General features: G+C 41.8%; 1 protein-coding gene across 5 annotated transcripts in view, besides 2 other annotated features; it reads right to left on the bottom strand.

The window, feature by feature from the left end:
• CA8 (carbonic anhydrase 8) overlaps positions 1-10,362 on the bottom strand; it is a 95,989-nt gene extending 85,627 nt beyond the window's left edge. For all 5 annotated transcript variants that reach the window (NR_135821.2, NM_001321839.2, NM_004056.6 and 2 more), the window contains exons 1-2: positions 10,010-10,362; positions 8,651-8,842 (exon numbers count right to left, since the gene is read on the bottom strand). Coding sequence is in view for 4 of the 5 variants with exons in the window: in NM_001321839.2 (NP_001308768.1) it covers positions 8,651-8,842; positions 10,010-10,109 (292 nt within the window). In the remaining variant the exon portion in view is untranslated. The remainder of the gene's footprint in view (positions 1-8,650; positions 8,843-10,009) is intronic.
• Positions 9,838-10,344: an enhancer, noted in NCBI's record as "H3K4me1 hESC enhancer chr8:61193435-61193941 (GRCh37/hg19 assembly coordinates)". NCBI's record gives its function as "activates a minimal SCP1, AML or CMV promoter by ChIP-STARR-seq in naive H9 embryonic stem cells {active_cell/tissue: H9 hESC(naive)}" and the evidence as "EXISTENCE:reporter gene assay evidence [ECO:0000049][PMID:30033119]".
• Positions 10,337-10,545: a silencer, noted in NCBI's record as "fragment chr8:61193934-61194142 (GRCh37/hg19 assembly coordinates)". NCBI's record gives its function as "represses an EF-1alpha promoter that drives an FKBP-Casp9 reporter gene in an ReSE screen in K562 erythroleukemia cells {active_cell/tissue: K562}" and the evidence as "EXISTENCE:reporter gene assay evidence [ECO:0000049][PMID:32094911]".

The following is a 12,425-nucleotide window of genomic DNA, read 5'->3' on the forward strand; positions in this document are numbered from 1 at the left end:
TAATAAATACAGTCATTAATCCAGCCAGGTACAGTGGCTCACACCTGTAATCCCGGTTCTAAGGGAAGCCAAGGCGGGAGGATCATTTGAGCCCAGGATTTCATGACCAGCCTGGGTAACATAGCAAGACCCCTGTCTCTACCAAAAATTTAAAAATTAGCTGGGCATGGTGGCAGGCCTGTAGTCCCAGCTACCAGACAGGCTGAGGTGGGCAGATTGCTTGAGCCCAGGACTTGGAGGCTGCAGTGAGCTATGACTGTACTCCAGCGTGGCCAACAGAATGAGAGCCTGAAAAAAAAAAGAAAGAAGAGAGACAGAGAGAGAGAAAAGAAAGAAGGAAAAAGAAGTTCAGCCCTGACATTTCATATAAATAAAAAAGATAGAGCCTCTTCTTCAGTGAAAATAATTTTTAAGATATTTTTGACAATTTCATCTTTAAATCAGCAAGGTTGCCAAGAAACACTGTTAAAAAGTTGCCATGTTTGGGGGGGAAAAGTAGGATTAATAATCATCATCATCTATCCTAAAATTAGTATTGAGAATTACAAGAGACCCAGAAATAAAATATCCTAATTAAAGTTTCTATAATAAGAAACAGTGAAGGGCACAAATGACCTATCTTGATTGGCAATTTCTCCCATAATGATGGTTGATTAAAAATGTCATTACCCTTAAGACATTGCTTGTAGTCAGCTGGAGTGACACTACTGCACAAGTGTGGGCAGTCTCACACATTTTCTCACTACTTAAGTATCAAGCCACTCAGGCTAGAAATCTGTAATTATTTTTTATGCTTACAATCCTCTTTATACCACTGCAAAGATGTTTAATTTTAATTTGCCTGTGTACCTTAAATGTCAAGATTCCTGAGAGACAGTGACCCACTTGTCCTGCTGAGAAGCTAAATGATACATGTGGCAGCCTTAATAAAATTCTCCATGCTCTAGGAGATAATAGGACCAATAGTCTGGTCAGATCACCCTGGAATGTGATGCTTGCTTCAACTCCATGTTAGGAGGGAGGGACTCTGCTACCTTGAAATTTGCCCAGAGCAGAGGTAGAATAGTGACAGGATCTGAAACCGGGGGCTCCATCCAAGCCATCTCTCTCCACTGATCTCCTCCACATCCCTGCTCCACATAACTGACCCATGACATTCTGTAGATTGCATCGCAGAGATCACTCCTGTGTCTTCCCCTCCTTTTCCACTGACACTGCAATGCCTGTGGTTTTGGTTGAGTCTTTTGTACTAACCTTCAAACTGGCTCACACTCTCTCCCAGATCCCATCTCATTCAGTGCTGCCAGCTTGATTTTCTTAAAGCAATGTTCTAATTATGACTTTATCCTACAAAAAAAAAAAAGAAAGGTTCTACTCTTTAGCCTCTGTGCAGAGTCCCTCATGAATTTGCTCCATAATACCCTCTCTATTCTATTTCCTGTTAACCCCCTTTATCATGAACAAATCTCTTCCAGACATACTGAAGGATTGGCCTTTCCTCATACAACCTCTAGAACTTTCCATATCTTATCCTTTGTGCAAGCTGTCCCTTCTTCCCACACACCTCAGGCTCCCCATATCCAAATGCTATTCATCCATCAAGGATTATTTCAAATGCTCTTTCCTCCACAAATCCTTCCCTAAGAATTTCCACCAAAAATAATCTCTCCCTGTATAGCTATAATATATTCCATGACCTACCATTGTATCCTCCTTGAGGGCAGGCTTTGGATCTGATTTATACTTACCTTATCCAAAGCATGTAACTGTTTGCAAAAGATGAAACAAAGATTGCCAACCTCACCCTGCAGGCCAGAGGAAACCAATGAACACGTATGTTTAGTTCACAGGTGCACATCTCCAGTTTCTCCTGACACATTAAACATCTGGCAAAGTAGGCCTGCTCTCTGCAGCTTGCCAGTTCCTGCAGTCCCCACCAGCCCCTACTGTCTTGTCTATTGACACTGCAGATGAAGCAGAGGATCAGTAGCTATTTACAATCTCTTGCTCTCCTGGTTGCTCTCATGTATAGTATTATATCTGCCTGGGTCTAAAAGACAAGTGAGTCTATAATTCCCATAGTAAATTATCAATAAGTAAGTATTGAAGGATGAAAGGCTGTCATGTGAGCAACAGCTGAAAGAACTAAGAATGTCTGAAAAGAAAAATGGCAACTGCATGTTATGACTGCAGTATTTGAAAGTGGAAGTATAATTATATTTGTTCTAAATATGTCCAGAGACTTAAAGAGAGACAATGGCGGAGATCATAGAACTTTTTGACTTTTGGAATTGCTCAAAAGCAAAATGGGTTTTCTTGTGAGAAATGGATTTCCTTCCCTGAGCTATTCAAGCTGCCCACCCACCTGCCAGGGGTCTGAGATGGGAGGCTACACTGGCCCATGCCACTCAGAGAGCCTATCACTGTGGCTCCTTTTCTAAGCTCCTTTGCTCTCTTATGGGGAAAAAGAAGACGAACAAAGTAGCACACAGTCTATGCAGATGCACTGCTCATGGGGTACATGCAGGAGAAGAGGGTTCAGAAGGAAACCTTAAGAAACCCTGTTATTTAAGCACAGTGGAAGATGAAGCACCAGCAGAGAAAAGGCAGTCAAAATTAGGAAGAAGTGTCAGGGAACTGTGTGGCCCAGAGACTAACAGGAGAGAAAACTTCCAAAAATTCCATTTCCAGTGCAGCAGAGTTAAAGTCCTGTAAGAATATAAAAATGCCCATTGGATTTAGGGGATGATGAGTTCATCAGTGACCTTGGCTTGAGAAGTTCCAGCAGAGAGGGATGGGGGCAGGGGCTCATGCCCCTGAAAACCCTCAAATTTATATTAAGGCAGTAACTCCAGATGGGATTATATATACAGGAACAATATCATTACAATTATGTTAGAAGTTTTAGTTTGATAAGTTTAAGCATTTAAATTATACTACAACTGTTCTAAACCTTTTTGGCAATTATTTATGATTTGTTAATATAAACTAAGCAAAAATAAAGAATAAAACAAAATAACTGAGGCCAAAGACAGCCTCAGGGAGGGCTGAGGTTTTAGCACAGTGGTGGTGTGAAGTCAGCTTTAATTTCTAAAAAGAACTGTGCTTCTTGTGTGGATTTTTTTTTTAATTTAAGAAGACAGCCCACTGTATTTGCAGGGGGTACCTCCAGTTAGACAAGGAAGATTGTACTCAAAACATTTATCTGCCCTCCCTCCTCAATTCTCACTAAATGAAGAGGGCACAACTTGCCAGAGCAACATGAACAAGACTGGAGAACAAGAGCAAAAGAGAAATGCCCAAAATAATGGGCGGCGGTAGGGGGGTGGTGCTGGAAAGCAGACAAAGGTAGTGAGTGATTCAGCAAAAAGAGAAAGCTAAAAGCTAAGTAACTACAGGAAGAAGGCCACAAGAGGCAGGTAATTCCTACCGCAGAACCCAGATGCTATGGTTTGAATGCCTGCATCCCCCTCCAAAATCCATGTTGAAACTGAATCCCCAATGCAACAGTATAAGATGTCCAGGAGGTGATCAGGTAAATCGGATGAGGGCTCTGCTCTAAGAATGGGATGAGGCTCTTATAAAAGGGCTCCAGGGAGCCTGTTTGACCCTTCTGCCTCATACCATGTGAGGACGTAGCACCGAAGCACCATGTACAGAGCAGAGGAAGAGCCCTCACCAGACACCAAATCTGTCAGCAGCTTGATATTGGACTTCCGAGTCTCCAGAACTAGGACAAATAAATTTCTATTATTTATAAATTACCTACTCCACAGTATTTTATTATAGTAGCCAAACAGACTAAGACACGAGAAAAGACTCAGGAGGTGGAAGCATTAGAGATACTTCTGAATGTGGCAGTGCAAAGTAGGAAACTGAAAACAGAAAAACAGATTTAAAGTTTTTAAAAGGAGCAGTTAAACCTCATCATGCATGGTCAGGCATGATGATGAGATCCCTGGCAGAAGATGAAGGAAATGTGGACTTGCTAAATGGTAATAGTCTCCTGTCTGTGCCAACAACCAGAAAGCTGGTGGCCAACTTGAGCCATCCCCAACCCCAAAACAAAAACACAAACAGGAAACAAGCATATTCCAGATAAACCAATATAAGCAACAAAGACTCCTCCAACAACATGGCCAGGTCCTTTCTTGATCATGGTACTGTGAAGCCCAACAGCCCTCAATCCCTGCCCAGGTGCACAGAGCTTCTGATCTGCTTCCTAGACTCATTCTTAAATAGGAACGAAGAGCCAAAGATCACTGGACTTTTGAGGAGAACCTCCGAAATAAAAGAGGGATGCCAATATAAATAGAAAAAGAAACCCAGAGTAAACAGAGACAGGTAGGGATAGAAAAGAAGCAATATAGAAAAGAATGAAGAAAGATCATACATTCATGAAATAAATACTGGATGTTGTATTTTTTTTAAAAAAAAAGGTTTTTAATTGCAGCGTAAGTTCAATGTTTTAGAAATTAAAAACAAGAAAGCAGAAAGTAAGAGTTCAATCAAAAGACTAAACGATTAAAAATTGAGGAAATCTACTAGAAAGTAGAAGAGAAAGGGAAGAAGAAAGTGGGAGTTACCAAAAGAGGAGGAAAAAATAAAAATACAAAATTTATCAATGAAATAATATAAGAAATATAAGAAAATTGCTGGTAAATAAAAGACACAATTATCTTGACTGGAAAAACCTACCAAGTGCCCAGCATATAGTGCAGAAACAATCCCACCAAGGCATATGGTTGTAACATTTCAAAACAACAGTAGTAAAGAAAACACTGTAAAAGGTTCCAGAAAGGAAAAAAGAGAAGAGACACATAGAGGGGGTTGAGAAGCAGAACGGCGCTAGATCTTTCAACTGCAACGCTGGAAGCTTCAAGCAATGTAATCATGATGTCAAACATCAAACGAAGTCAAGAATACTTCCAACCCAGACTGCCGCTCCAGGCTAACTCCAATCAAGTGTGAAGTATAATAAAGACACTTACAGACACATAGGCATCCAAGCATGTAGCCCTCACTTGCCCCTTTTCTCAGGAAGTTCCTGGAAGATGAACTGTACAAGCAAATAAACCAAGAAATTCCCTGAGATGACGGAGCAACTCAAAAAAGAGGATGGCACGGCATCCAGAAAACATTCGATCTAACACAGGAGACAAACGAGGGGACTTCCACGGCATCCAGGAAACATCCGATCTAACACAGGAGACAAACAAGGGGACTTCCCAGGCTTGAGGTCCAAGGAGCTGCGAGAAGAGGCTGTTAGGAGAGGCCTGGAGAGCAGAAAAGAAAAGCAGCCTCCACAGGAAAAAGAAAGGACAAGGAGGAGCGAGGGAGGGAAGACAACCTGATGCACGCTAATGTCCTAAGAGAAGATCCGTCATATGTTAGAGAGTTTGCAAATTAATTACCGACAGATAAAAAATTCAATTAACAAAAATGCATTAACTCCAGGAAAATACAAAACACTGTTTAAGTGAGACAAAATATAATCTCAGCTGGAAACAACAGTTGCAGTTGTAATAATAAAAATAATGAGTATTAATTTAAATAAAAATTAATTTAAGTAGACTCCAGGGGAATGAGGCATGAGAAATTACATAATGGATACAATGTACACTATTTGGGTGACAGTTACACTAAAAGCCCGGACTCCACCACTATGCAATATATCCAAGAAACAAAACCGCACTTGTACCCCCTAAATGTATACAGATTTTTAAAATTAATTTAAGTATACAGCGATAATACGAGAGTGAAATCATAAGAAAGAGGGCAATAAGAAAACTGGCCTCGTCCAGGTGCTGTGGCTCATACCTGTAATCCCAGCACTTTGGGAGGCCGAGGTGGGCGGATCACCTGAGGTCAGGAGTTTGAGACCAGCCTGACCAACATGGTGAAACCTCGTCTCTACTAAAAATACAAAAATTAGCTTGGTGTGGTGGCGGGCGCCTGTAATCCCAGCTACTTGGGGAGGCTGAGGCAAGAGAATCACTTGAACCTGGGAGGTGGAGATTGCAGTGAGTCAAGACGCACCATTGCACTCCAGCCTAGGCGACAGAGCGAGACTCTGTCTCAAAAGAAAAAAAAAAAAAGGAAAGAAAATTGGCCTCGTCTTCAATAGTAGAGAGTTCATACATAGCTTACTACCAAAGCATAACAGCATTATTATATTCTTACATTCTTGGAGGTAACCACAGGAGAAACAGCTAGAAAGTTTCAAAGTAGTTGTTACTAGGGAACAGCAGCCGTAGGTGGGGAAGAGCAGGGGATAACCACAGGCAGAAAGAACCACAGGCAGAAAGAGTATTATTCACCTTTTTTTTTTTGAGACGGAGTTTTGCTTTTGTCGCCCAGGCTGGAGAGCAATGGCGCAATCTCGGCTCACTGCAACCTCCGCCTCCCAGGTTCAAGTGATTCTCCTGCCTCAACGCCCCAAGTAGCTGGGATTACAGGCGTGTGCCACCATGCCCAGCTAATTTTTGGATTTTTTAGTAGAGATGGGGTTTCACCATGTTGGTCAGGCTGGTGTCGAACTCCTGACCTCCACTGATCCACCCACCTCAGCCTCCCAAAGTGCTGGGATTACACTTGTGAGCCATCACACCCAGCCTATTCAACTATTTTGTATATATTCTATTTTGATAAAGATAAAACATTATTTAAATAAGCGAATGACAGGGTATATAGAGCTTACAAATGGTTCCTCTGAGGAGCTTAAATATCCTAGGGGAAAAAACAACTACTCAAGACATGGTTATTTTGGTTACTTTTCTTGAGTTTGCAGAAATATTGGAAGGGAAAGAACAATAAGGAGGAAATTATTACCATGACAGAGAGGATAAGGGGAATCTGAAGGAGGAAGGTCTCCAGGGAGGCAGGAAAAAAGGGTTCTGGATCATGAGTATCCAAATCAGGCCTAGACAGAAGTGCAGACACTTCTTCTTCAGTGGGCAGGGGTGGAAGAAGGAGGAAGAGAAAAGCACAAAATGCTAGGTGAGGAAGAAACACACTTCATGGTGAGAGGGCCCAGATGTTGGTCCATAGTCTCTGTTTTAGAGTGAGGCAGAAGATTAAAGAAAATTGTGTTTGAGAAGGTAGCAGAAGAAAATGGTAAGTTCAAATTGATGAAGTAAATTTTATCTCAGAGCAGGACTAGGCACACACAGATGCAGTGGAGTATATGTGCTTAGTCATTGCTCTCTGCTCCCACAACCCTTTGTAACACTTGCCACATCAAGTGTACACTAGTACTTTAAAGAACTGGCTTTTCACTAGGCTATGAATCCTCAAGAACTGTCTTATAAATTTATATGCAACCAATATTGATCATGGCACCTGACATGAAATGTATTTTTGTTTTGTGGATATATAAACATTTATTTCCGGAAGTTCAAAGCATCTCAACACATCAACACACATGTACTTCTTTAAATTGCTTTTTATATGCCAGAACAGTCAGCATTCAATAATTTTACAATATCCTTTAAAAAACAGTAAGTAATGTCCCATCAAAGCTAAACCCACACCCCCAAAAAAATTCAAGTCGAAATTTCCATCTTAAACTGACTCTGACTAAGTACATATAAAGCCCAGTAACTCTTTTGGGCAATGCTCACATGCTGACTAAACTCAGAACAGCGAAGGAGACTACATGAATCTATGACTATCTCATGGATTCTAAATTAAAGCTTAGAAACATTTACAATGAATAAAATAAATCCATAGCTGGAAATCAACAGCTGCCTTGATTAATAACAAACCTAAAGATTTTATAGTTTGAGGTATCAACTTTATCAACTTGGAATTAATTTTCGAGCACAGTCTCTATTTATCAAGTACGTCCTAATATTTCAACATACTTTAATTTTTCCCAAAAGAAAAAGACAGTTATTATTCACTATGAAATGCATGCTATTAATGCTACATTTTTTAAAAATCTGATTTCCTCTTTCCTACGATAAAGCCAAAAACTGATTTCCTTGGTAATTACCTAACAACTTTTGCACAGAACATTTCAGATCCATCTCAAATAGGTTTGCAAGTGGTAGGAGAAGTTTCATGGGATGGAACTTAAATAAATAAATAAATAAATAAATAAAAGGAAGAGGTTTGTTTACCATTTAAATCTCTGGCTGAGTTTAGAGGCTGTTTCTTATTGTTATTAGTTAAAATTATTTTTGGCAAACTAATACAGTAGAGAAAATTAACCTGAGAAGTCTACCTTGAATGCCACGTTATGTCAATAAATTCTAATCTTTGGTTTCACAAAGTAGCAAAACAGAGAATTATGATTATCTAAGTGATTTAAGCTAATCAACAATTTTGGACAAAACGCAGATTACTGCACCTGCATGTACCTGTCCTCATATTTCACAAGGTATAAGGTGATCAAACTAAGGTTTTTCCAGTAACATCATAAGAAGCAGAACAACCGACTGATAATCTTCATAATTTCACTCTTTTGTCCTTTCAAAATTGTTTCAGAAGGTAATTCCCAAAAATGCTTTATATTATAATACAAAGGTATCCTGAAAATAGAGATACGTCAGTTGTACTTTTTAAATTGTGCAAGTTAAATCACAGTTCAATAACTCTACGCTGACTTCTAGTTTAAAAGACCACACAAACATATTTTCTAAAATACCTGATTTTGACTTCAGGATAACCTGAATGGTATGTCCATCATTGGTGACTTCACAGTCTCGGCACACCACATAATTTGGGGAGAGGCGGACATCCAACAGCGAGGGGTCATACCTAGCCTCTCTTGAGTTTAGGTTAATAGGAGACTGGTATTCCCCATTAGCATCAGGAAACACCAGACCCCACTCAACACCTAAGAACAAAATGAAATAAATTAAAAACAGGTTAAAAAATAAATTACAGTAAAATTTAACATGTAAAAACTAAACACTTAGAACCCTTGATATCATGAAGAGAGTAATGATACCATCACTATACAGATGAAATATGGTAATTCTATTTGTTTTTGCATTCATTATTTGAATGATCTGTTATTATCAAATACCATACACAAAATCCCGGACTAGCAAAATATTCTATTTGTATTTGTCAACAAAGACATAATAATTTATGATTCTAGGAAATTTGGGTCATTTTTAAGTGATTAGGAAAAAAGAATACCAGAACAATTTCTTCTGCTTATTAGTTCAATTACGTTCAGTACCTGGGAAACAGCTGTAACTTTCAACATACTTAGTGACAGTCAGAACCCTAACTCTCATGCTAGTAAATAGACGCCCCTTATCAGAAATGCAAGTGTAGTATTTTAAAGTGTGCATATGTATATATCTGTGTACATACATATTCCCATAGTCTTTCCAAATTTTTTATAATTAAAATTATATATTCTATATTGGTTTCAACATATGTAGTAAACATCAGCACTACTGGTTGGCTCTAATAGGAGCCCTAGGTCTTTAGGAATAAATCTAGGAAACTCGAGTTTTTCAGAAAGTCAACCGCTTCTCGCCAAACCCAATGATTCAGTCTGAAATTTAGGACATGTTTTAGAAAGACTTGAGCATTGCTAGCAGGCTTCACGAAAAGACCAGAGGCAGAAACACTTTCTCCCCAAAGTCTCCAAGCCAAAAACGAATTCTTCACGCTAACACTGTCTTCCTCAGGTGTTTAGTAAAATGTACCGCTGCTCTTCTTGACTACTCAGAAGACATAAAAGGTACAGCCACGGCTTGGAGGCTAGCCCGCCCTCCGGACCGCAGCAGGTGCGAACGCCAGCCCTGCGGAAGGCTCCCGGGTGAGAGCGCAGGCGGCGGAAGAGCGCAGGCGGCGAGCACGCCTCCCTGGAGCGCCTCCCGCCCGAAACGCACCAGGGGAGTGGGAAAGTGGCAGAGACCCCCGTGGGAAAGAGGGGGCGTGGGGGTGCTCGGAGCGCGCAGCGGCAGCAGGACTCGAGTCCCGCGCTCGGCGAGACACTGACGCCGCCGCGGGACCCCGGACACCCCGACTCGCGGCCACTTACCTTCCTCGTAGCCCCACTCCACACCCTCCTCTTCTTCCTCCTCATCCTCTTCCTTCTCGGGGAAGGCGACGGTATCTTCGATGAAGCTCAGGTCCGCCATGGGAAGGCCGCGGGGCCCCTCGGCGCTCTCGGCAGCAGTGCCTGCGCCTTCGCTGGGCGCGGGGCTGGAGCCGGAGCGGAGCGCGCGTGGGGGAGTGTGAGCACGCGTGAGCGGCAGTGTGAGTGCGAGAGCGCCTCCGGGTGTGAACCGCAGTGTGAGTGCAAGCAGGCGTGCGTTCGGACCGAGTGTTCCAGAGACCCGCGTGGGAAGCGCGTCCGGAGGCCCCAGCAGAGCGAGGGAGCGGCTGTGGCCTGGGGAGCGAGCGCCTGGCGAATTTTATACCCGACCGGGGCGTGTCTGGTACGCGAGGATCCGCCCCCTTCTCTCTCTGGCCGTTGGGGCCAGGGGAGCCGACAGTTAGAATGCGCCTCGGGGCGACTAGTCCCAAGTCACGGAAACCTCGGCGCATCCCCGCCCGCCCTTCCCCCGGGGTCGCCCCCGCCGCCTCCTGGCGCTTCCTCGCTGCGGCGACTCCTGCTTGGCCGCCCGAGCCTTCCTTCCAGAAGCCCGCAAGTCTCCCAAGGTCACTCGGGACCCCTGTGTGCCTGGCCTAGCCCAGAGGCTGCTCACCTATTCATTTTCATCCGTACTCCAGGAAATACCAAAAAGAAGGGGTCCTGGAGGAGAGAGATGGGCTGCCGTGGGTAGGAGAAAGGAGAGGGCTAGGAGACCCCGTAACACAATAAAAAGAGACTCTCCAGCGGAATCTTCTTAGTATCTTCTGAGTATTTACTTTTTAAATCGTCCGTTCAGCGCAGTGGAAACGAGTTTGGAAATTTTTCCAAGAAAGTTCTATTAATTCCTAAAAACGTTTAAGAAAAGAAAATGGTTGTTATCTAGAGAAGTAGCTATGATTTAGGGTTGTGTTTTTTTTTTTTTTTTTTCCAGAAAAGGGTATTGTTTCAAAGCAGGGCTAGCAGAAGGCAGTAGACAGAGGGTGTTCGCTGTCAGAGTCTGGGGCGCTGCTGCAGGCTCACCTGGCTGTGTACACAGCTCCCATTCACCTAGTGAAATCGTGTAAATAATGAAGTGCACACATTGCATAACAAACAGGAACTCTTCTGATCCAAAGAGGTGGCATTGTTACCCTTAAACGTGCTTCTCAGTCTAGTGTTAACGACTTCAGCCCTCTGTTCCTGTGCCTTTTAAAAGCCCTGGTCAGTAACCCCTAAGTAGGTTAACTCCACATTTTTAGAAGATATATGTGCACAATAAACTCGAGTTAGGACCTTAAGTACAATTTGTTTTTTATATGCTCTGGTCATTCATGAAGATATCTATTTGCACTTTGAATAACCTGTTCCTAAATCACACCAGCCTTATGAATGCATAATTCCTCAAATAAGGATGGAAATGATCCGTTTGGGAATGTTTAGTTTCAGTGCTCATATCCTTTACTGCCTGCTAAGCACCTCCACTTTTTAAAAAGACACTTCATAGCTTTTAAAAAAAAAAAATTACAAACTGCTCCAGAAAGTACACTGAGATGGAAAGAAGTGGGGGGAACCCTCAACTCGCTCAATTCTGCCACTTTCTGGAAGGTTTAACCAAATATATGGAAAACTACTGGCCAACATTAGCTTGGAGGATAACCGGTGGATTTTAAGCATTCATATAATTTCTCTTTTCCTTAACTGTGCAGAGGACTGAAACAGTTTGAGAAACTAAATTCATTTTTCACTCACTGCATTCTGGGTGTTCTTTAGTGGACGGTCGTTTGCATCTTTGCAAGCCTGGGACTGGCAGAAGCAGAAGCCTACCCCAAAGCCAGAGCTATTAAAAATAATAAGCACTACTGAAAATATTAACTACTTTTCACTGAAGGTCTTCTAAAAGGAACATTTATTTTTCCTTTCTTGAAAACTTTTTTGTAATCTTCTATTTGTTTTAAGTTTCTTTTTAGAAGTATGTTCACACGTTAATTAAATGCCACAGCTAAGGAAGCCCATACAAAGGCTATGAAGGAATTGGATAATAAAAGCACTGCCACTCTGAGCTCATCAGCAATGGCCTTTCTCCTCTGTCCCCCAAATGTGCCTAAGTATGACATTGTAGCCATTGTGTGACCACCAACTGTGTTTAAAATATCAGGTGAATCATAGAGATGTTTATCAAACCAGAGGATGGTACAATCACCATGGTAAAAAACTGAATTTTCCATGAATAAATACTGTGCCATATTTACAAAAGATAGGCTGAAAGATTGAATTATTAGTATTTACTTTTACAGTAAAAAGACAATTTTGCATATAGCCAGCAATGTATTACTATTCAAATATGCAGTTGACTACTAGCATTGGCCTATATTTGCTCCTT

The sequence above is a fragment of the Homo sapiens genome, chromosome 8, assembly GCF_000001405.40.
Source record: "Homo sapiens chromosome 8, GRCh38.p14 Primary Assembly".
Lineage (NCBI taxonomy): Eukaryota > Metazoa > Chordata > Mammalia > Primates > Hominidae > Homo > Homo sapiens.